The sequence below is a fragment of the Homo sapiens genome, chromosome 5 (assembly GCF_000001405.40).
Source record: "Homo sapiens chromosome 5, GRCh38.p14 Primary Assembly".
NCBI lineage: Eukaryota > Metazoa > Chordata > Mammalia > Primates > Hominidae > Homo > Homo sapiens.
Window position 1 is genome coordinate 35110642 of NC_000005.10, and position 22891 is coordinate 35133532.

At 41.9% G+C, this 22891-nt stretch overlaps 1 protein-coding gene across 12 annotated transcripts in view, besides 1 other annotated feature; it reads right to left on the reverse strand.

Moving 5' to 3' along the window:
• PRLR (prolactin receptor) overlaps nucleotides 1–22891 on the reverse strand; it is a 181732-nt gene that overhangs the window by 61886 nt on the left and 96955 nt on the right. For 11 of the 12 annotated variants that reach the window (NR_037910.1, NM_001204318.1, NM_001204317.1 and 8 more), the window contains one exon: nucleotides 7420–7481. The exons of the other annotated variant lie outside the window; for it this stretch is intronic. The gene's annotated coding sequence lies outside the window, so the exon portion shown is untranslated. Of the gene's footprint in view, nucleotides 1–7419; nucleotides 7482–22891 lie in introns of those variants that run through there. 12 annotated transcript variants of the gene reach the window in all.
• Nucleotides 6801–8000: an enhancer, noted in NCBI's record as "MED14-independent group 3 enhancer chr5:35117544-35118743 (GRCh37/hg19 assembly coordinates)". NCBI's record gives its function as "activates an origin of replication core promoter dependent on BRD2, BRD4, P300/CBP and CDK7 cofactors, and independent of MED14, by STARR-seq in HCT116 cells {active_cell/tissue: HCT116}" and the evidence as "EXISTENCE:reporter gene assay evidence [ECO:0000049][PMID:35650434]".

Sequence of the window (22891 nt, forward strand, 5' to 3'; positions counted from 1 at the left end):
AGACATGGTAACCATCTAGTGTTCCTCAAAGTCAACCCCATGGGGAATCTTAGCCTTCCCACCATGTGGCCTGTTAATGTCTTTTTCCCACAAAAATTGCTGTCTTTCTATGCAGGAATATAGCTGCCAGGAAAATGTGATTTCTCCATACTGTTTCAGAAACAATAGGAATTGCCACATTGTCCCCCAACAGAAAGCTGGGCTGCTTCTCATGCTAACTTTCAGATTACCCTCTTTCAGGCATGGACATCCCTGGGTTCTCCAAAGCTGGATCATGCCCTGTCTACAAAACACCCAGAACCTGACCTTACCGTGGCACTGATAATGAATCTTGACCTATCTTTCTCTGTACCCCCACCCCATCCCAGGCTAGTAGCTCATTGCTGTGTGTGTGTGTTTCTTTCATATCTCCCATGCTTAATGCAAAACTGGAAACATAGAAGGTATTCAATAAATGGTTCTGAATAAATGAAATATATGTGGTGTAGTTGTATTTAGAGGGCAACTGGTAAGAATTTTATGCTCTAAAGAGCTGTTAATCATTGGAATATGTGATTGAGGGAGGTAATGCCTTTTCCATCTTGGATGGTTTAAAAATTGATAATAATGGCAACATATATTTTAATACAATTTTAGTTTTCAAAGTATTTTCATATAAAATATTTTATTTAATTCTCTTCCCAACCCCGTGAGATTTCTGGATGGTAACACTGAGTTTGTAAACACTTCTGGCTGCTAGATGGTAGAGGTGGGACAGATGTTTTATCTTTTGAATATAAATTGGTGTATCCTTTTAGGGTAATATATTTTAAAAGCCGTAAGAATGTAGATACACTTTGAATCACAAAATAGGCTTCTAGAAATTTATCCCAAATGAACAGAAACAAAAACAATTCTGTACAAAGAGAACCCTACCCTCCTACTTCTAGAATCCAATATTCTGCTTTCATTTTGGTATTTATAAAAACAGAATCATGGGGAAGAGATCTAAATATCAAACCATAAGGGATTGTTTACCTAGATCGTGTTACAGTCATATAATGAAATATTATTTAACCTTTAAAGTAATGTGATAAACCAATGATATAGAAACATGGAAAAAGTAAAAAAGAAATTGAATACAGAAAGTAGATGTTTTTGATCCCAATCTAATATACATATCTCTATATGTGCACAGAAGAAAGACTGGAAATATATATTGGGAGTAGTTGTTTCTGGGAGGATGATTCTAAAATAAAATGTGATTACTTTTGTAATAAAATAAAAAGCTATTACTATCGTAATCGAGGAGGAAAATCCCAACAAAAAATTTTAACACCACAAAACAACTCCCAAATGAAAACCTGGCATTCAGTGGTGCAAATACATGGAAAAGCTCCCCTCTAGGTTAGAAGATAGAAATTACTTGTATGTTTGTGGCAAAATTTTCAGCAGTTGCTGACAGCCGACCTCCCTGTGTTAATCAGGGTGAATGGCTGAGCCTGTGCCCTGCTTCTTAGCCTGTGTTGAATGATTTAAAATGCTTTTGATACTCATGGCTTGCCCACTTGTTTTCCCCTACTTCTCTGAATTCCATCACTGTGTCTGTCTTAGGGTTATTTGAAATACCTAAGGCTGGCCATTATTTTTTGTTAAACTTCTGATAAGTGGGTAAAAGGCAATTTCATTGAAAAACTCATTTTTCAGAGCCTCAAAGAAGGGCTGGGTCATCTTATTAAAAAGGCGTTTAATAAATTCAGTAGGGCTCTCTCTGAGAAGCTGGGTGCTTGTTTTACTCTGGCCCCGGGGCTTCTGCTAGTCCTTGTCATGCAAAGCAAGAGGAACCGGAAATTGAAAGAGTGGTAAACCGGGAAAGAGGGTAGAGAAAGAGGAGAAAGCAGGAGGATGTGGAAATTCAAAGGCAGGTGGGCTAGGGGAGGGAAAGCACTGGGCTCAAGGTGAAAACTCCACTTCTTTGCCTATTGCCAGGGGTTTGAGCATCCCTACCACCTCCTGACATTACTACCAGTCCCAAAGTCCCTCTCTCCCTCATGACTTTGGTCCATCTTGTACCAATACAGCCTGTGTCTACCTGATTTAGTCACCTCTCATGAACAATATGGTCTTTCAGACTTGCTTCATTCAAAACATCTGGGCTATTTATCTAGCAAGATAATTGCTTGTCTCTCTTACTGGCTTATATTCATTCTTTTTTTCCCCATTTTATTCAGCTTCCCTCAGGAGCCCTTTCTTTGCAGAAAAGTCATCTGTCCAACCAGAGTATTAATAGTCAGGGCCCTTAGCGAGGCTGGTCTGGGAGTGGGGCAATTCATACTCCCAGAGCAACTTGTGGGGAAGAGGGAGGGAAACCACGATCCAGCTCTTTACAATGCATTTTGAGAAAATGTAGAGTTGACCTATGTAGTGGCTGGAACATCCATCCACCCACCCATCCATCCATCAACCTACCCACCCATCTTTCCATCAATCCATCAACCCGCCCACCCATTTATCCACCCACCCATTTATCCATCCATCTATCCATCCATCCCTCCATCCACCCACCCATCTATCCATCCATCCATCCATTAACCTACCCACCCATCTTTCCATCCATCTATCAACCACCCACCCATTTATCCACCCACCCATTTATCCATCCATCCATCCATCCATCCACCCACCCATCTATGCATCCATCCATCCATTAACCCACCCACCCACCTTTCCATCCATCTATCAACCTACCCACCCATTTATCCATCCATCCATCCATCCATCCATCCATCCATCCATCCATCCACCCATCCATCCACCCACCCACCCACCTATCCATCCATCCATCCATCCATCCATCCATCCATCCATCCACCCACCCACCTATCTATCCACCCATCCATTTATCTATCCATCCATCCATCCATCCATCCATTCATCAATCTACCACCCACCCATCTGTTAATCCTTCAACAAATATCAACTGAGCATCTGTGATGCAGGGGTAGGGTCCTAAGAATACAATGTTTTGCTGAAACAAACCTCCTAGTACTTCCAGTCTCCTGAAGAGAGGAGCTAATAAAACAGTTCAATGTAAATGATGCAAGTGCTAAGGAGGACCCCTGCAGGTACCATGAGAACCCATAGCGGGCAGATTTGACCTGGCCTAGGAGGCCAGGAGGGGTTGCCTGGGGAGGCTGCTTCGGGAGAAGGAGGAGTAGAAAGCCCCTCTTCTTTATCATAGCCCTGAGTATAGCTGGGTCTGGCAGACACTGCTGGTTGCTTCTCCAACACCCACTTCTGCCTTCATTTTTGTTAGGTATCTAGTTTTGTTAGGTATCAGGCATCTAGCCCCAGGGGATGAGGAGGTATCAGTCTAAGCTAACCATGGTGATCTCACTTGCCTTTTGCCTGTGATTGGTTTAGGAATGTTCTTGACATTGAGGCCTAGCAGAAGTCTTCAAGGGCTCGGTTGTCAGCTTGGAGTTGGATGTGAACTGACTTTGCAGCATGATCCATGGGTAGGCACACACTTTGGAGCTGACACATTTAGGGACTTGGACAGGTACCAAGTAACCCCATCGCTTGAGAGAGACAGAATAGGTGGTTGTTTTCTAGAGCTGGTCCTGTCATTCATCAGCCACATTGAATTTGGCATGTCTTTTCCTCTTTCTGAGCATGAGTATCTTTTAATGTAAAGTGTCGAGAGGGTCACATGTGCCCTGCTTTCCTCAGTCAACTGTTGTGAGGATGAAATAAATGATATTTTTGTTCAAGCATGCCACATGGCTGCAAAGTGCTATTGAAGCGTGAACCACTGTCATTGGCAAGGCTTGATAAATGCTCCACCATCATCAGTTGGGGTTACAATTGCTCCTTGGAACCCTCCAGGCTCCTCAGATTTTTCTGAGTGGAGGCCTAATTTCAGATGGACAAGATGCTCCTCTTCCTTGAAATGTCTTTTGACTTGGAAACTCATTGCTCTAAGTGGGCTCCGGGAGACTGCCTGGCTCCTTGTGTCACTAGGGTGGAGATTTCCCTTTGTGTGGGAGCCCAGTGGCTCCCGTATGTGAGTGAAACTCTGAGTCCCTCTTGCCTCAGGATTCAGGATGGGGTCTTTTGCTTCATCAGAAGCCCACAGAACTCAGAGGCCATCCAATGGAGGAAATGGGCTACAAAGCCGACCCCAGTGGCTCCTCTCTTTCCATTTGTTAACATAAAGAGTTTGGGTGCGGCAGATGCATGTTTGCTCAGGGCTGGGCCTGAGCTTTGGCTCCCTTCCCTTTTGGAATTCGGTTCCTTCTACTCTTCTCTATCCCTGCCCACAGAGCTGGTGATGTTGGGCTGCACCTCTTTTCCAGAACTCTCTGCTGGAAGTACCAGCCTCAGTCTCAAGACATGGTATTCAGTAGAACTTTCAATCACGATAGAAATGTCCAATGGATTTCCTTTGTCCAGTGGTGGTAGCCACAAGCCACATGAGGCTGGCAAACATTTGAAATGTACTCAATGTGACTGAGGCATGAAATTTTTAATATCATTTAATTTCAATTTATTTATATTTAAATTGCTACAAGTAGCTACTGTATCAGACAGTACAGGTCTAGAGCTCAATATCCCAATCGTTTCAGTCTCTCCACTGCAATCAAAATTAATTTGTCCTGTGTCCCAATCCCAAGGCTCTCTTCTTAGAGAAGCACCAGCAAGACAATCTCATAAACAAATTGCTGTCTATAAATTAAGGCCTTTCTCCCTTAGGTACATGTGTAGGTTTTGAGTAATGCCACAATTTAGTCAAAGCAGAAACTCAAATGATAGGAATTTGAGAAACTCTAACAGGTAAGTGGTGGGGAAAAATATTATAAGTATAGAGCTTTAAATGAACTTCAAAACACAGCCTATGGGTGGACACATCCTCCCGAGGACCCTGGGCTGCTTCTAATCTCCTCTTGGCTTCTTGCAGTCTGGAGAGAGTTAAGGGCAGAAGTGTGCGGATGGGGGCCTGGGAAAGGGCTGGAGGTGGGAGGGTTGGAATGGGCAGAGCCTGAAGGATGCCAGGGCTCTTGCAAAAGAATCTGGTATGCCAGGCAAAGACAGTTTGTTCCACCCTGGGTGGGTATGGGGCACGAGGGAGTGATTGTTAGGGAGTGATGATTACCACTGGGACAGGACTGGAAAGTTAACAATTAAGTTAGAGAGACCAGACATCATATAAAAGGCTGCAAAATGGACTGCGGCACTTTGGGTCAAGTCTTGGACAGGAATTGCAATTTTACTCTTAACTTTTAATCCCCTCTTTTAAGGAGGGTCCCCCCCTCTGAATTCTTCTATGAATATTGCTTTCTGGATGTTCTTTTCACCCTGAAACTGAGCTGTGTTTCTGTTTCTCTTGGATGACCATGCAACTGCTTTCAAGTTCCTGCCTGTGATTTCACAGATAGCCACTGGAATCAGAAGTATCTTTGTAATCCAAACACCAGGTTGGGAAAGGGTGGAGGATGATGGAGGCTGGGTGCAGGGGTCAGGGAAGATCAATCAGAGGAATAAAAGGTCCATGAGGTGCACTTAAAGATGAATAGGAAGTGTGTGTACAAACCCTAGGGCTTTGGAATTTCCTTTTAGGGCCTTGGTTTGCCAATTGGTACCACAGATAAATCTGCTACTGCCACCTTATCTACTTTATACTATTTGGTTAATTTTTTTTAAAAAAGGATTTCTGGTTAAGCCACTCTTTAGAGTGGTGACCTGTTTGCTGTAAAAAGTTAAAATTATATAAAGTGAAGTGGAGAATATGTCTCAAATCTTTTGAGCAATAATGTTGTCTATGAATACATGTCTATGAATAATGAATACACACACAAATACAAAGTAGCGGCCAAATTTTCCGGGAGCTTTGCAACACAGCTCTGACTACTGGGTGCTTTCTGACCTCTTCAAACTCTTAAAGGAAAGGTCCACTCAGTACTCAGCATTGCCCTGTTCTCCTTCATTTGCCTTTCCTTCCAGTAAATAGCATGAGGCATTTGGCATGAAGGGGTAGAAGCCAAGACGGGAGAAAGCACAGAGAAGTCTGAATGGGTCGATTCACCACTTCCAATGTTACCAGATGCTCCTGGGCAGGGCTATTATGCTGTGGGGCACTCTTGTACCCAGAGCGTTTTGATGACTGATGACACTTCTTCTGCAAGTATTTGCTAATGTTATTGTGAACACTATAAATTTCAGTCGATTTCCATGAAAAACAAAAGCTTCTGCTGGGCTGAGGCAACTTAAAGCAGTGGTTTTTGGTAGGATAATTTTGTCCCCACCTGGAAGACATTTGGCAAAGCCTGGAAACATTATTTTATTGTTACTTCTGTTGGGGGGAGTTTTGTCCTCCTTGGAACTGTCTGGAGATGTCATTGGTTGTTAGAGCTGGGGTGGGGTGGTGTCCTTCTGGTATTTAGTGGGAGACACCAGGAATGCTGCTGAGCATCAAATGATGCACAGAGGAGCCCCACCACCCAAAACGATCCGACCCAGAATGCCTACACTGTTGTTTGAGAAACCCTGGCCCAGAGGGCAAGTTCAGGCTCAGAACTTGACACCAAAGCGGCATGATGGCTCTCAAGGGGCTATCATGTTTCAATGTGGGAAGACTAGTAAGTTTCCCTAGATGGCCCCAAGAAGTCCCAGGAAAATTTTGTCTAGGATTTTCTTCAACCAATAACTTCATTGTTTTCCTATCTTCCTGGCTCCTTAACTTCCTCTGAATGAGAGAGTACAGCCTCAAAGTCGTACATGTCGAGCTCATCTCAGTGGGTCCAGATCCCATTTGCCTGTAGTGTAGACAGAGGGAAGTCAGGGGGCTTGGTTTCTCCATCTGTAAAATGGAGTCGTAATACTTCATGATCTATTTGCTAAGCAGTCCTGGCAGCCTAGGGTTTCCTTGCCACTGGCAGATGAGAGAAGACCCAGAGCCTGTCACACATGAGTCCTGCCATGAGGGCTGGGAGGAAGGAGACACAGCAGTAACATTACGGGGCCCAGAAAGTTGTGGCAAGAATTTATGTAGAGTTGCTTAAGAAAATAAAAGCAAGCACAATATTTCTCTCTCTGATTATAGAAGTAACATAGTCATTGTCGATAATCTCTCAATTACAGAAAACTACAAGGAGAAAATAAAAATCTCTCATGATTGCACCACTAGGAGATATCAGCTATTAAAAGCTTTGGTATTTTCTTTGAGAAAAACAGAAAAGGATGAACATCAGTTTTTCTGAGCTGGACAGGCTGGGGAGACTGAAACAGCCTTTGAAGACAGCAGAATGTGCCAGTGTAGACATTGACTGGTTTGAGATGATATTCTGTAAACCAAGATAGTTGAGCCCCTGCCCTGGATGAAACGGACAGTGGGGCAGATGGGTGGTGTGACCGAGGGGCATGAGAACAAGTCCCCCTTACCTTCAGGGTTCATGTGGAAAGCATCCTCAGTGTTCGCCTCCATGAATAGGAGAGTTCTTTAGCTGAAAGAGGAAATGATTCATTTTAGCTCCAAGATGACAAAACGGGAGATTCCATTTCTGGCTCACTCTGCAGTACGTAGCATGGCTGAACATTGGCCCCTCAGTGATAGGCATGAGACAGCTCTAGTGTTCTGGAATTTGTTTTTTGGCAGCTTTATTTTGAAGTAATTTTAATCTTACAGAAAAGTTATAAAATAGTAAAAAAAAAAAAAAAATCTCATATACCCTCGACCCACATACCTCAATTGTTACTATTTTACCACATCTGATTTATAATCTTTCTTCTCTGTATATAAAAGTTACTTCCTAATTATTTGTGAACTAGTCACAGTCATGATGCATGTTTACCCCTAAATATTTCAGTGTGTTTTCCTAAGAACAAGGACAATTCTCCTACATAAATGTAGTACAATAATTAACGTAGGAAAATTAACATCGACACAGTATTATTACCTAATCTATAGAGCTTACTCAAATTTTGCCAGTTATCCTAGTTGGGATTAGATTTCATAAAATTTGGTCCTGGAGACTTTAATGAAATTTCTTAACAAATTCTGACATAGTTATAGATGAACTGGAATTCTGGGTTTTGTATAAGAACTTTCAGACTCTGGGGACTGACTAGCCTGAGTCTCGGAGGCATGAAGGGACAACTGTTAGAGGTATGGATCTTTTTTTTTTTTGACAGGGTCTTACTGTGTCTCCCAGGCTGGAGTGCAACGGCGCAATCACAGCTCACTGCAACTTCAACCTCCCCAGGCTCAGGTGATTCTCCCATTTCACCCGCCCCCTGCCCCAAGTAGCTGGGACTACAGGCACATGTCATTACACCTGGCGAAGTTTTTGTATTTTTAGTAGAGATGGGGTTTTGCCATGTTGGCCAGGCTGGTCTCAAACTCCTGGCGTCAATGATCTGCCTGCCTCGTACTCCCAAAGTGCTGGGATTATAGGTGTGAACCACCATGCCCAACCTACAGCTACTTTTTAAAATGGGCTTCGATATATATGAACAGCAATTCATAATTTAATGTCCAGTTTTGTCTTGCCCATTCCAAGCAAAGGCAAATAATCTAACCAGAGTAGCAGACAAAATAATGCTTTTTCTAAGTCTTCAAAATCCAGAATCTTCAGGATTATTCCTTGAGGAAGCCAGTGCTGAATATCCTCCATGCTGACTCAATGGACAGAGGAGGAGGTGACTGGCAGGAAGCTGTGGTTGGCCACTAGCACCCTCATGCCATTGACAACCTCTCTCTCTCTCTCTCACACACACACACACACACACACACACACCACTTTCTCAACATTGCTGCTGTTGGCATGATCAATCAAGAGCCTGGAAGTCTTTACAATCAGAGGCTACCATGTGACAAGGGCCATCTGAGCATAAGACAGCCAGCCCCAAGGCATTTGATAATAAGGGGTCTGTTGGATCCAGAGCCTCTGACACAGATGTCTGGGGCACGTTTCTTAGGAGCCACTCATTTTTCTCCATAGGGTGCAGTGACACCAAATTTTCTGTTTAAAAAAATTTTAGATTCTAAGAATTATTTTAGAACTTAAAGTTCTCTCTTTGATTAGAGTTGTCCTGTTCTGTTCAGAGCAAATCCTGCTCCGTTCTGTCATCTCCAAAATAAGATCCAGACTGTTTTTACACTCTTGGCAGAAACACTGAGGGGTCAGCGAGGGAGTGGAGAACCAGGACAAGGGCTGTGCTGGGGGTGGGACATCTGGAACAGCAGATAGCAGCAGTGAGGGCTTCGGGGCAGGCGGGCATAAAGGGATGGCTTCTGCAGTTCAACAAACACTTATTGAGTGACAGGCCCTGGGCCCACTTGGTCCATTCATCTACTATTCATTCAGCATTTAGGAAATGCTTGGCTTACCACTTAGCCCTTGTCATCCTCTGCCCTGGCTCCCACGTCTATTCTTTACCTGCTCTGTGCCCTGTGAGTCTGACTCCTGTGCCCTCCAGCTTCAAGTAGGGTTCTACCCACAGTGGGTAGAGCATGGAGATGGGCATATCAGGGTATCGATTTCCCTCCCTCCCTGACTGCCTCAGAGAGTGGTGCTAGCCGTGGTTGTGTATCTTTTACCACAAGACTAGTTAAGCAGTCATGACTCCAGCTATCACTGGGCCCTGGCAAAATTCTTCCCTCTCCACTCTTCTTTATGCAGATAGGGGGGTGACAAATTCCCTTGTTCTTCTAACCCTACCCCTGGGCATGTAAAGAGTCTCTACATTCTCTTCAAAATCCTAGCTGCGCGTGCCATCCTTTTTCTGTCTGACCCTAAGATGGCCCTTGAATATGTGCTAAATTGTGCCTGATTGCTCTGGACAAGCAAGAAAGGTGTAAAATTTTGTATATACTTCCTAACATGAGGATATACCATTATGGGGTGGGGTCCCAACATGAGGATATACCATTATGGGGTGGGGAGACATAATTTAATAGAAGCTCCTGGGGGAAATAACTCACAGATTTCATCTTTTATATACTTGAGTATTGTGTGTCAGTCAAAGACCAACCTGATCTCTGGTCACATTATTTGAAGTATGGCATCCAGAACAGGGGAGGTGATAGTACTACTTAGTTCTGTGAATTCTACATTAGCTCCCACTTGGAGTACTGTGCTCATTTCCCTGCTCCTCACTTTAGGAAAAAGCATGTTGTTTATCTCCAAATTCTGTCACATAAAGCAGAAGTTGAGAGAGTTTTTCTTCAAGAGCCAAATAGTAAATATTTTCAGCTTTGTAGGCTGAAATGTTCCAAGTACTCTGTTACTGTAGTACAAAAGCAGCCGTAGACAACATGTACATGAATAAGCTTGGCTGTGTTCCAATAAAACTTTATTTATATAAATAAACAGGCTGGATCTGGCCTGCAGGCATTACTTTGCTGACCTCTGATAGAAGAGTGCAAAATGAATTTATTCTAGAGGTGCCCAGAAGGCAGAAGTTTGATCAATGTGTAAAAACCATGGGGGGGTAGATTTGTGCTAATTTTAAGATCATTCTAGTGGTGACTACTGTTCCCAAAGAGAATCATCTGTTTCATAAGTCAGTGAGTTTCTTGTCATTATAGGGGTTCAAAGCAAAGGCTGAGTGTTTTAGAAGAATTTTCTGCAGAGCATGGAGAGTAAGTTGGATGATGTGGGAGGTAACACTGCCTCACATTTCTGTATCTTCAGCATGGTACAGTGCACACATAGTAAATCTTCTCAGTTCTACGTTCCTAGAGGGAAGGGGCTGTGTCATATCCATCCTTGCATCCCACCCCCTCCTGAAAGCCTAGTATAGTGCTTTAAATATGGTGGGTGTGACCAATACATTTTTTTTGTCAGCCTGACTCTTTAAATCAAATCTTGCTGACAGACTAATTGTACTAATTTGTCTTTAGTACAATCATCACTACCAGCCATATTAAATAATTCAATTACCTCTGATAAGCTTCAACATTTGAGGACTTTCACCGAAAATAATACACAACATTTACTAAGTTCTTAAAATATGCCAGCTATCATGCTAAGAACCTTACAGGCATTATCTTATTTAATGCTCCCCAAAATCTATGAGGTAGGCACTATTATTACCCCTACTTTATTGATGAAGAAACTGAAATTCAGAGAAGACTCATAGCTAAGAAGTTGCATATCCAAAACTTGAACCGAGATCTCTTTGATGCCAAAGGCTGTGCTCCAACCACAATTCCATTCTGCTTCTGGGTCATTCATTTATTCTTTCATTCACTCAGTATTCAACCAATAACAATTGGTTGCCTACTATTTGCCAAATAGTATTTTAGGTGCTGATGATAGAGCTGTGGATATAAACAGGTCAAGTCCATGCTCTGAAGAAACTTACATTCTGGGTGGAATAAAGTGGGAGTTGATACACAATTAACAAATGAGAAAATAATACATGGTAATTCATCACAAGACATGAGGAGATTAAAAAGACAATAAATATTTCTTGTCACACTAGAATCACAGATATCATCCTAATTGATGAATTTAGCAAGACATGGAGATTAAAAAGATAATAAATACTTCTTGTCCACACCAGAACCACAGGTATAAACCTAATTGATGAATTTACTGAAGTTCTTTCTTGTTTTTTTTTCTTCAACTTTTAAGTCCTGGGGTACATGCTCAGGGTGTGCAGGTTTGTTACATAGGTAAACATGTGCCATGGTGGTTTGCGCACAGATCAACCCATCACCCAGGTATTAAGCCCAACATCCATTAGCTATTCTTCCCGATGCTCTCCCTCCCCACGCCCTGATAGGCCCCAATATGTGTTGTTCCCCCAACCTCCTGCCCTATGTGTCCATGTGTTCTCATCGTTCAGCTCCCACTTATAAGTGAGAACATGCGGTGTTTGGTTTTCTGTTCCTGAGCTCTTTCTTGTTTACTGACATTAGCCCAAGGTTAGTCTTTTGTCCTGACAAATTGTCAGATAAACTGACGTTAGGCCAATGTTAGTCTTTAGTCCTGACAAATTGTCAGATAAACTCAGATTCAGAAAGAAATCTGCAAGATTTCTGGCAATTGATAGAGATTACATATGGCAATTTATAGACATGCATGTGGAGCTCTTGAATGAAAAGGAAGTTTATCCAATAAAGCACTTGGGAATCACTCTTTTGGGGCAGGCTGAACTTGAGCAGAAGCAAGCACATCCACTTGAGTCAAAGGCATGGGCCTTGTTTAGGAGTAGAGGTACCAGGGTGGCTGAGAGTGGAGGAACCAAAGGGGAATTACAAAATCTTGATTGAGATTGAGATGGAGACAGAGGGAGCAAGATAAATAGGGTAAAGTCAAGTCAACTGTCAGGTCCAATTGGCAAGTGTTGACTGGGAATGGGAGACAGTGCCCAAAGGTCAGGGGTGGAGTAAACACAAGCCCAGATGAGGAAGCGAAAGAATCCAATATTTTGTTTGTGTCTTGATGGGTGCCAACTACAAGGGGTAGGTGTGGGTGGCCTAGTTACAGGTGAAGGATAGGAATTGACAAATAGTAGTAATCCTTTTGCAATTCCAGAATTCCTTTCGTTAGTGGATTGTAAAGTGATTTTCAGAGTAGAGACTCCTGACAGCATCAGCATAATCTTACTTTTAAAAATGGCTAAAAAACAGAAAGACAGCAATTAGTTAACATTTATTGGCTGCCAGACATTGTTTCTAAACACTTTAATGCTTTATTTCATTTAATCTTCATAAGTACACTTTGAGAACCAAGCTTCTTAATAGGGAGCTAATTAAAGAATGACTAAAAACATAAGTGACATTTGGAGGGAACTTGTATAATGTCATCATTGAAAATGAGTCCTAGTTATTCATGTACTGATTTGTCCACTCACATATTTATTCAGCCTATAATAATTGGGCACCTAATACATGTTGGGTGCTATTCTAGGGCCTTTGCCTGGATGATGTTATTGATTTCATTGTTTAACAGAGAGACAGTGGAGGGAGCAAGGGATTTTGAGTCAGAAAATCTAAGTTCTGTTTCTAACTCTAACTGGTCCCGTGGTCCTTGGAAAAGTCAGGCTGCTTCTCTCTTTAATGTGTTCTGATGTAAAACAAGGAGCTAAGCTGCTTGAGGTCTTTTAGAATTTACTGTTAAAGTATTCAGTAGCTTTATAGTACATTGACGCTTATAATAAATACTCACTTATAGTCTGTCATTCTACCCTCCCACCCCCATCAGGGAAATCATAGTATTTATGAGGCTTTAAACGTGGAAACTTGTCAGGGATTGGACCAAGTTCCTCTGCTCTTTTCACTGAATTCCTCTGCCTTCCATGTAGGAATTTGTGTTTAATTTCTGAAAGAATTATAACAGAGCTGGGGGAAGATGTCAGAGGAAAAGGGAAAGATATAGATGATATAGAAGACAAGGAGAAGTTAAGACTGGGAAGGACAATGTACTAGCTCTCAGGAGCTTTGTGCTCTGTCTCTGAAATCATTCAGGGCTGCTATAGTCATCAAAAAAATGTATCCAAAGGCACAAGAAGAGAGACCTTCCAACTGGTGGAAATTACATTAAGGCAAATTTGGGTTCAGTAAAATGGTAGAGGAGTTCTTTACCGGACATTCCGATTGCCCATGGCTGGGCAGAGCTAAAACAAATGGGTCATATTACAAGGCAAAGTAGCTTTTTAATTTTAAGGCCCACCAGTCAATAGATTGCTACGGCCAAGGATGAAATGGGCCACTCTGGTAGGAGGTGAGCTCCTCCTCATGGTGCATGCTTATGCTGAGACAACGTAAAATCCTAGAGGGGTTAGCAACTTGGATCAGGGCTACAAGACCAGAAAAGGGACTTTCAACTCCGAAATGCTATGACTGTAGGAGGCAGGAGGCTTACAGTTTTATCTGTAGTCTATAACCCCTAGTCCAGAGTTTAGATATCCTTATAGTAATCTACTGGGGAATATTGAAGTCCCTTTTGCAGGCACTGACATCCAGGCCAAATTCCTTAATTTATTTATTTTATAAAAGAAGTTCCTTGTACGAATTTTTGACAGAATACTCACCCTAACTCCTATTTTTGGCATTTCTGACCTCTCGTTCTTGACAAATAACCATGATGGCAGACTTCTCTGGGAGCCAGAATTGAAGTTAGAGTTGGATCAACACCCTGAAATTCTAGGCCCACCAGTCAATAGATTAACAGGGTTACCTTTGAATTTGTCCAGAGCCCTTATTTTCCAAAATGTTTTTCATCTGCTATCTTTATCAGAAGTGTATCAGTCAATTGGTGTTCTCTGAGGGTAATAACTTTAACAAGAGAAGGTGTATGGAAGTGCTTTGTAACAGTGAAACACTCTGAAAAGTTAGAAGTTTTATTATTGTTATAACCTGCCAAGGCCACAGTACTGGTTATTAGCAGATCTATATCTAGAGTGGGTTACTTAGAATCCTTTTGGAGGTAAATAAATAACACTACTGATAATTTAAAAAGAAGCAAAGTCCAAGTCTCCTTGATTGACCAGCAAGCAACAGTAAAGTTTAGAGCTGGATTTTACAAGCATGAGAGGACCAAATCAGCATCACTGAAACACAGGTGGTTGTTCCAGTCCAGTGAGTAACTTTGGCCTGAATGTGAGTCTGTAGAAATTGGCCAACGATCATCTTGATTGGGACAATGATGGGTTGGACATGGGGATGAGGTGGCCACCAGCAGTGGACCTGAACGAAATGACTTTCTGCTTAGTTTAGTTCAGAGGTCATGAGTGTAAATCCATCTTTCCCTGATGGTGAGGGGCATTTACAAGCTAGGGCTACACTAATAATTTAAAGTGAACTGGGAACTAGTGATTAAAAAATACCTCCGAGTGATGAAAAGACACTGTTTAGACTTCTAAAGGAAATGGTTTAAAAAATAATTCCCAATTCATTGCAATATTAAGAACATTCTTAAAATGTTATCTTTGTCCTGATCTCTTAATCCCCATAAGGGGTTTTCTGTAAAGGTTCTTTAAGCATTTGAAGCCACTAATACCATGAGTGGAAAAAGAACACACTCTTTTAATTAAAGTGGAAAATTGCTATGTTCATGTTAATTTCAATTGAGAACATCTAAAAGTATAAGAGAATACATATTTCCTGGTCTTAGTATCCAGGGCTTAGGATTATTTAAGATCAGTAGCCAAAATTGTTCCTATTTTACACTGCATAATCAGGAAGACTGTTGAGAGGGGAATGTTAGCAGGCGATGGGTTTTAGTTTTCCAATTATGTCAGCCTGGTTGGGGAACATCTAAATGCCATTTGTCCTTGACCTTTGAACTGTTTTCTCCCTCACTCTTGGGCAACACAGCAAATGACCCTTACGAAGCAGCAAATTAGTAGCATGTGTCAAGGCTGACACTTCTGTTTTTCAATCTAGTTGTCTGTTTTGCTATCCAAAGCTGCCTTCTTCAGGGGTAGCTGCACTTGGCAGAATGATAAACTGTGCTTCTGTTTACTCATTTTTCCCAAGGCTAATTTAAAAGTGCTGTGGGTAGGTAAGTGATGTTGATAATGGGAACATCTTAAGCTATTAAGTTGAGAACTGAAATATTAGCATGGGCAAATAGACTCATCTCTAGCTGATGGAAATGAGTCCATGTACTGTTTTTTAGCCCGAGAGTGCCATGTGTAGTTTCTTTTGGTCTCCATAAGCCAGGGGATCTGGCTCCCCAGAGCTGGGAAGATTATAGCATTGAGCAAATAATGTGCTTTGAGATTCTTTAAGGCCCAAATTTGTCCCAATTGCTTCATCCCAGGTTCTCACTTTTATTTCCCCCTCATCGGTTTTGGTGACATTATTTTCCAAAGTAGTCCAATTGCATCAATCATTCATTTTAATTTTAAAAAATTGGAGGATTTTTTTTCTTTGTGTTACTGTGTGTGAATATTGGCCCACCCGATTCATTACATATAGGCAGCATGGTTCACTGGATGTGTATAGGATTCTGAATCGGACCAAAAGGGATCTAAATACGACTTGTGCCACTATCTAGTCTTGTGACCTTGAGCAAGGCATGTAAGTTCCTTGAGTCTTATTTCTTCACCTGTAAAGTGGAAATATCTATTGCTACCTTTTGCTACCTTTTTGGATGATTGTGAATGTACACAGTATCTAGGAAATAGCAAGTAATTAATATATGCTAATGATTATTAACAGCTAACATTGATTGGACATCTGGTACGTGCCAGGAATTATGGGAATCCTCAAAACATCTCTAGGAAATAAGAACCATTATTATCTTCACTTGCTGATGAGAAAGAGATGGGCTAAATACTGGCTCAATGTCCCAAAGATAGGAGATGGCCATGCCAGGATCGTAGAGCCTTCAGTCGGCCTCTACTCCTCATGTAAGAAGAATGGCTGTGCAGGGTTTTGCCACCTGGAGTAAGAACTGCCTAAATATGTATCCCAGGGAGGATTCTAAGACCTGCAGAACTCCTTGCTCCCAGTCCCTCCTCTTTTTCATGCCTTCTCATTCATACTTAAGCCAGAAGCTGTGAAGGGCAAATCTGATGCCAACAGACAGGACCACGTGGCAAGTAGACCCCTGGAAGACCTGCTGTAGCTTGGCTTCACACTCAGCTGTGAACTTGTCAGCTGAACACACAACTGCAGGTGCAGTGTTCCATGTGCATGCCATTAAGAAAACTCCAGTCATTCAAATGTTATTTTATTAGAAGGGAGGAATGGAGTCTTAAATACAGACCCACTCTATTAAGATAGTTGAAAAACACAGATGTAAATATCATGACATTATTGTGCTATCACCATTACATCATCCTGCAAACCCCAACTCTCCACAAACTTAAACAGAAGTCATTTTTATTATCAATACTAAATACGCTTAAATCTAAGATATTAAGATCAGAAACTGTCATAGTAACTCATGTACAGCTAAAAAGGTGTACAATTCAGATTAAAGAGATCATGGCACTTTGCTCTTTAGTTAAAATACTAGTGTGTTGTCCATCAACTGATGAATGGATATACAAATGTGGTATAACCCTACAGTGGAATTTTATTCAGCCATAGAAAAAAAGGAAGCACTGATACATGCTACAACACGAATAAACCTCAGAAAACAATATCGTAAGTGAAAGAAGCCAGGCACGAAAGACCCCAGATAGCATGATTCCATTTACGTGAAATGTCTAGAAAGCTAATCTATGGAAACAGAAGGTGGATGAGTGGTTGCCAGGGGCTGGGGATCAGGAAGAAAAAGGAGTGGAGAGTGATTGCTGTCATGTACTTCTTGGGGTGACGAAATGTTCTAAAATTAGATTATAGTGATGGTTGCACAACTGTAAATACAGATGGTCTCCAACTTACTATAGTTCCATGATTCCTTGACTTTATGAGGGTGCAAAAGAGATAGGCATTCAACCTGCTTCTTGATGAGGTTAGGTCCAGATAAACTATACGCTGAAAATATCATAAGTTGAAAACATCCTTTTGACTTAAACAATATTTTTAACTTTCAACTTGCAATGAGTTTGTTGGGATCTAACCCCACTGTAAGTTGAGGAGCATCTGTATACTAAAATCCATTGAATTGTATACAGTTGTCCCTCAGTATTCATGGGGGATTGGTTCCACATACAAATTGGTTATATGCAAATACTATAGCATCTTCTATCAAGGACTTGCGCATCTGTGGATCTAATGAATACTAGAATACCAGATCCACAGATGCGCAAGTCTTTGATACAAGACGTTGTAGTATTTACATAAGACCTATTCACATCCTCCCATATACTTTAAATCATCTCTAGGTTACTTATAATACTGAATACAATGCGAATACTATGTAAATAGCAAGTGAATATTTGTTACACTATATTGTTTTACATTTTGTATTATTTTTATTGTATTATCATTTTTTTTCAGAATATGTTTTATCCTTGATTGGTTGAATTCATGGATGTAAAACTTGCGAATACAAAGGGCTGGCTGTACTTTAAACAAGTGAACTTTGTGGAACATAAAGTATATCACAATAAAGCTGCTTAAAAAATACAAGCCTATTATTTCCTCTAATTATTTGCAAAAATGATAATATTCTTTCATGTTCAGCAGCTCTTTTTGAATAAATAGCAATGAACAAGAAGGCATTTCATTCACCTCCTCTGAGACTTGATAATTAATCTTGTCCTCACCTCCTCACTTTTTAACCTGCCCATCAAGTATTTGACTGCTGGGAAGGTGGAGTTGCAGAGATAATTGGCTCTCTGCTTATCAAGCACAACTCTCAGGCAAGACCTGTAAATCTGTCTCCATCTCTGCCTCCTTCCCCGTATTCCCTCTTTTTCCTTTCAACCCTTACTGCTGAGCACCCAGTCAGTGTTCAAAATCAGAGCTGAACTGACTCAGAGCAGGGACTTCTGCCTCTGTGGGTCTTCACTGCAAAGGGAACCAGAGCCATTTGTTAATGACTAAAAAGCAGAAACTGGTGGAGATAAAAAGAGATGGTGTCAAATTCTCTCCTTTCTGGATGCTGGTGGTGGTTATGTAGGCAGCTTTCATTTCTGTAAGTGTGCACTACAGTAGGAGTGAGACAGGAACCAGGATGCCAATTGAGAGAACTAAGAAAAATTGTGATTGGCATTTAGGCATCAAGAGAAAAAGTTCTCTTAGTGTTATTGACGTGCTCAATTTACTGTACAAGCAACTAAGGTGATGGGCAAATTGTATCCTTTGGATTGAAATCTCAATCCAGTTTCTAAATATTGAGGGAGTCTTGTTCTCTGCTCAGATTTCCTGCATCCTTAAGGTATTGGCCAGATGAGTCACTGTGGAACTGTACAACTCAGAACCCTTACTCCACATTCCTCTGGCCTAACAAAGTTGGGAGGATTTACACAAAGGTCAAGGGATCAACCACAGCAAATGTGGGGTTGAAACTTAACTGGTCTCAAGACAGGAGGTGGACCTCAAGTCTGAAAAGATTCCAGAAGCTTTGCCAAATCCACCCTCTCTATCATTCAGAAACATCACCACTGTAGTGATAGGTTTTAAGCACTGTAATCAATTTTTTTTTTTTTACTCATTGGGTACCTATTTCTCATTTCTCCCATTTTCTTCTTCCCTTTACTGTCCCTCCTCTGCCAGTGACAGAGTAACTTTACTCCTTCCCACTTTCCCTAAAAGTGCCAAGCAGTAGGGTGGGAGTGGGCACAAGGCATGGATTCTGCAAACATGCTTTCTCTGCTATCCCCTTGAAGGACCTAGTCCTGAAGCAGAGAAAGAGAAGTGAGCTTGTGGCACAAGGATATCTGTCCAGAATCCAAGAAGCCAGGTGACTTACCCTGGGCATGTCGCAAGCCTGTCAAAGTTTGAATGCTTGCTTCCGAATGCAGAGGGTGAAGTCACAGAGCCTGCCAGATTTACCAAGGGTGCCTGCTGGGGTTTGCTCCTGGCACCGAATATCCTCAACTACCAGTCTGTGCAGCTCTCATGAGCACCAACCTGTTTGCTGATTACCCGTTGGCAAGCTGACTCTTCAGACAGATTAATATTTGCCCTGGGATATACAAGGCTTTTATGACCCCTCCCCATTGCAAAGAAAACAAAAATTGACTAACTTGCTTTTGATGGTGGTTGGATTTGTTTGATGTGGCTTGATTTGGTTTACAGCTCATTTGCGGCAGAATCAAAATGGCTCGATTCAAGGCAGCTGTGGTTTCAGCAAAGCAGGAGGAATAAGGAGTTGGGAGGGGTGGGGCAACCATAGCAAGGGCAAGCTACAGGGTTGAGTCATGAGTCCCTTTCACTTAAAGCTGTAGTCTATGCTGTCATCCCTGTGTCGCCAGCATCTGCTCACCTGGCTTCTTTGGAACATGGCACACAGGATGGGACAAGTGATTCTGAAAGGGCAAGCAATGGCCACAGAACTCGAGTTGTGATCTCAATCCTTGTCAAAAATCACTTTTCAGACAGGAAGTAAATTTTTAGCTCTAAATTATGTAAAATCAGGAATCTAACCACAACAGAGGACAAAAATGGAAACCTTCTCATAATGTCATTTGTTTGGATGGTGTTATGGGTTGAATTGCATCCTCCCGAAAGAGACGCTGAAGTCCTCCAGTACCTTAGAATGTGACCTCATTTGGAAATAGGGTCCTTGCAAATGTAATTGGTTAAGATGAAGTAATAATGGAGTGGGGTGGGCCCTTAATCCAATAGGACGGATGTTTTTATAAGACAGAGAAGAGACACACGGGGAGGACACCTTGGAAAACAGCGGCAGAGATCGGAGTGATGCAGCTACAAGCCAAGGAATGCCAAGGAGTGCTGCCACCACAAGAGGCTAGGGTGAGGCAAGGGAGGACTCCACCCAGCATCTCAGAGGGAGCATGGCCCTGCTGAAACCTTGATTCCACACTTGTTGCCTCTAGAAGTGTCGGAAAATACATTTTTGTTGTTGTAAGCCATCTAGTTGTGGTGCTTTGTTATGTCAGCCCTAATAAACTAATACAGATGATTTATATGTGAGTCAGCTGGATTTGCCTACAAACACCTTTTCTGCAACTTCTTATATGAACCAATTTAAAATTTAATAGTATTTTTAATCAGTGAAAAAAGTTGGATGGTATGGGATTTTGTTGGCCTAATGTGGACACAGCACATGTTTTATTCTAGTGTAGCAGTGATGTGCTGAATCCCTATCAACTCCAAAGGGGATGGCACTAGGTTCAAGAGGCTGAAGAAGAGATCCAGAGCTAGAAAATGAGACACTGGGGTTTTACTGGGGGTTTACATACAGGGGAGAGGGTCTAGTGGTGGCGGGCTGGACAGGAGAACTGCTGGTCCAGTGGCAGTGGGCTGGTAAGAAGAACCACAATCGCTGGCAAAAGGCATGCAGTTTATAAAACATTTTCACTTAACACCCTCCCCCTAGCAACCTCAGCCTGGCAACCTTCATTTAACCCCAAACAAAGGATGCTGATCCCCTGTATGGCCCACATTCCCTGGGACGGGCTGGGGTTCAGATGTTCCTCATAGATAAGGAATGAATCTCTGGGATGGCCACTTCCAATTCCTTAGCTTGGAACTCTGAACATATATTTGGGTGCATCTGCCACACAGGGTCATTCTCAGGGTAGGCTCAAGTGAAGTTATCACAGTCAGGAGCACCTACCATACAAGCATCCCTGACCCCTCCAGTGAGAAAGTTGCTCATGTCCTGTGAAAAGCCAGTGATAGTGCTCTGAGTTCACTGCTATGATGTCTTGTTATTCTTTCTTTAAAGGAGAGCTCTGACCACTAGAAAGAGTTTTAAGAATGAATAAGGAGATACAGGACAGACACAGAAACCCTGGAGGACAAATGGTGCCAAAAGGATACTTATACCTTTGGCATTTCCCCAGCAGGAGGGGAAGGAGGAGTAGAGGGAGGTAGTCATAGTACCTCACCCTTCAATCCTCACTCTGGCTTTGATGTTGTCATTAGCATGTATCCCCAGAAAAGTCACTTATCTCTCTCAGGGTTTCTATTTTATTCAGGGGTAATTGATTTCCACTTACCAACCTATCCAAAACACATGGAGGAGAAAAAGGGAAATAAATTAAACCTTCATGTTCTAGGTCTTTAGGAAAAGCATTTTGTGGTCTCTAAAGTCTCTAGTCTCTTGGTTCTGTGTACAGAACACTCAATACCATCAACATCTGCATACTCTAGGCTCCTGACCCCTCTTTCTAGAACACAGGCACTATATTCAGAAACCTTTCCAGCCCAAAGGAAATCTTGTGAAATCTGGATATATATTATTTTATTTAAAAAAATCCCAGACATCATGTTATTTTACTCCTACCTATTTCAGTATATATCTCTAGCAATTATGACCATATTCTTATGTAACCCGTGTTCTTTTCACATCCAACAGAATTACTAATTTCTTGGTATCAAATATGGATATGTTTATATTTTTTGCAATTCAAAATAGGAAACACATTAGTCCTATTCAAAATAGGAAACACATTGGTGAATTACTCTAAATTGTTGAAGTTGAAGGGACCTCAGGGAAACAATTTCTGTTAGTACCTAAATTTCTCAAGGCAGAAGGCTACATGTCCTATTGTTAAATATCATAGGACATTCGTATGCAATGAGGGACTTTGGGGATTATCCAGCTCAACTTCTCATTTGATAGATGAGGATGCTGACACCCTGTGATGGCTAATTTTGTGTCAACTTGACTGGGTTAAGGGATGCCCAGATAGCTGATAAAATATTATTTCTGATGTGTCTCTGAGGGTGCTTCTGGGAGAAACACCCAGTACACTTGGTATTGAATCCATAGACTGAGTAAAGAATGTCCACCCTCACCAATGTGGGTGGGCTTTATCTAATCTACTGTGGGCCTGAATAGAACAAAAACATGGAAGGGGTGAAAATTTTCCTTCCTTGAGCTGGGACATCCCTCTATTCCTGCCCTTGGACTTCAGACCCCTGGTTCTTAGGGCTTTAGACTCTCAGACTTATACCAGGCCTCTCTCTTGTTCTCAGGCTTTGGCCGTGGAGTGGGAGCTACACTATCAGATCTCCTGGTTCTCAGGCCTTCAGAATAAGACTGAATTACACCACTGGCTTTCCTGGGGCTCCAGCTTGCAGACGGCACATAATAGGACTTCTTGCCTCCATAATCGTGTGAGCCAATTTCCATAATAAATCTCCTCTCATGTATACCTATATATATCCCATTGGTTCTGCTTCTCTGGGGAATGTTGACTAACACAGGCCCTGAAAAGCCATGTAACACCTGGTGAGTCAGAGACCAAAGCAGAATTGTAACCCACCCATTTCTGACTCCCATTCCACAGCAAACTGATTCTTTAGGAATGGAGATGCCATAGACTTTCTTAGCAGCCAAATTTGTTATTTAATTCCAAAGTT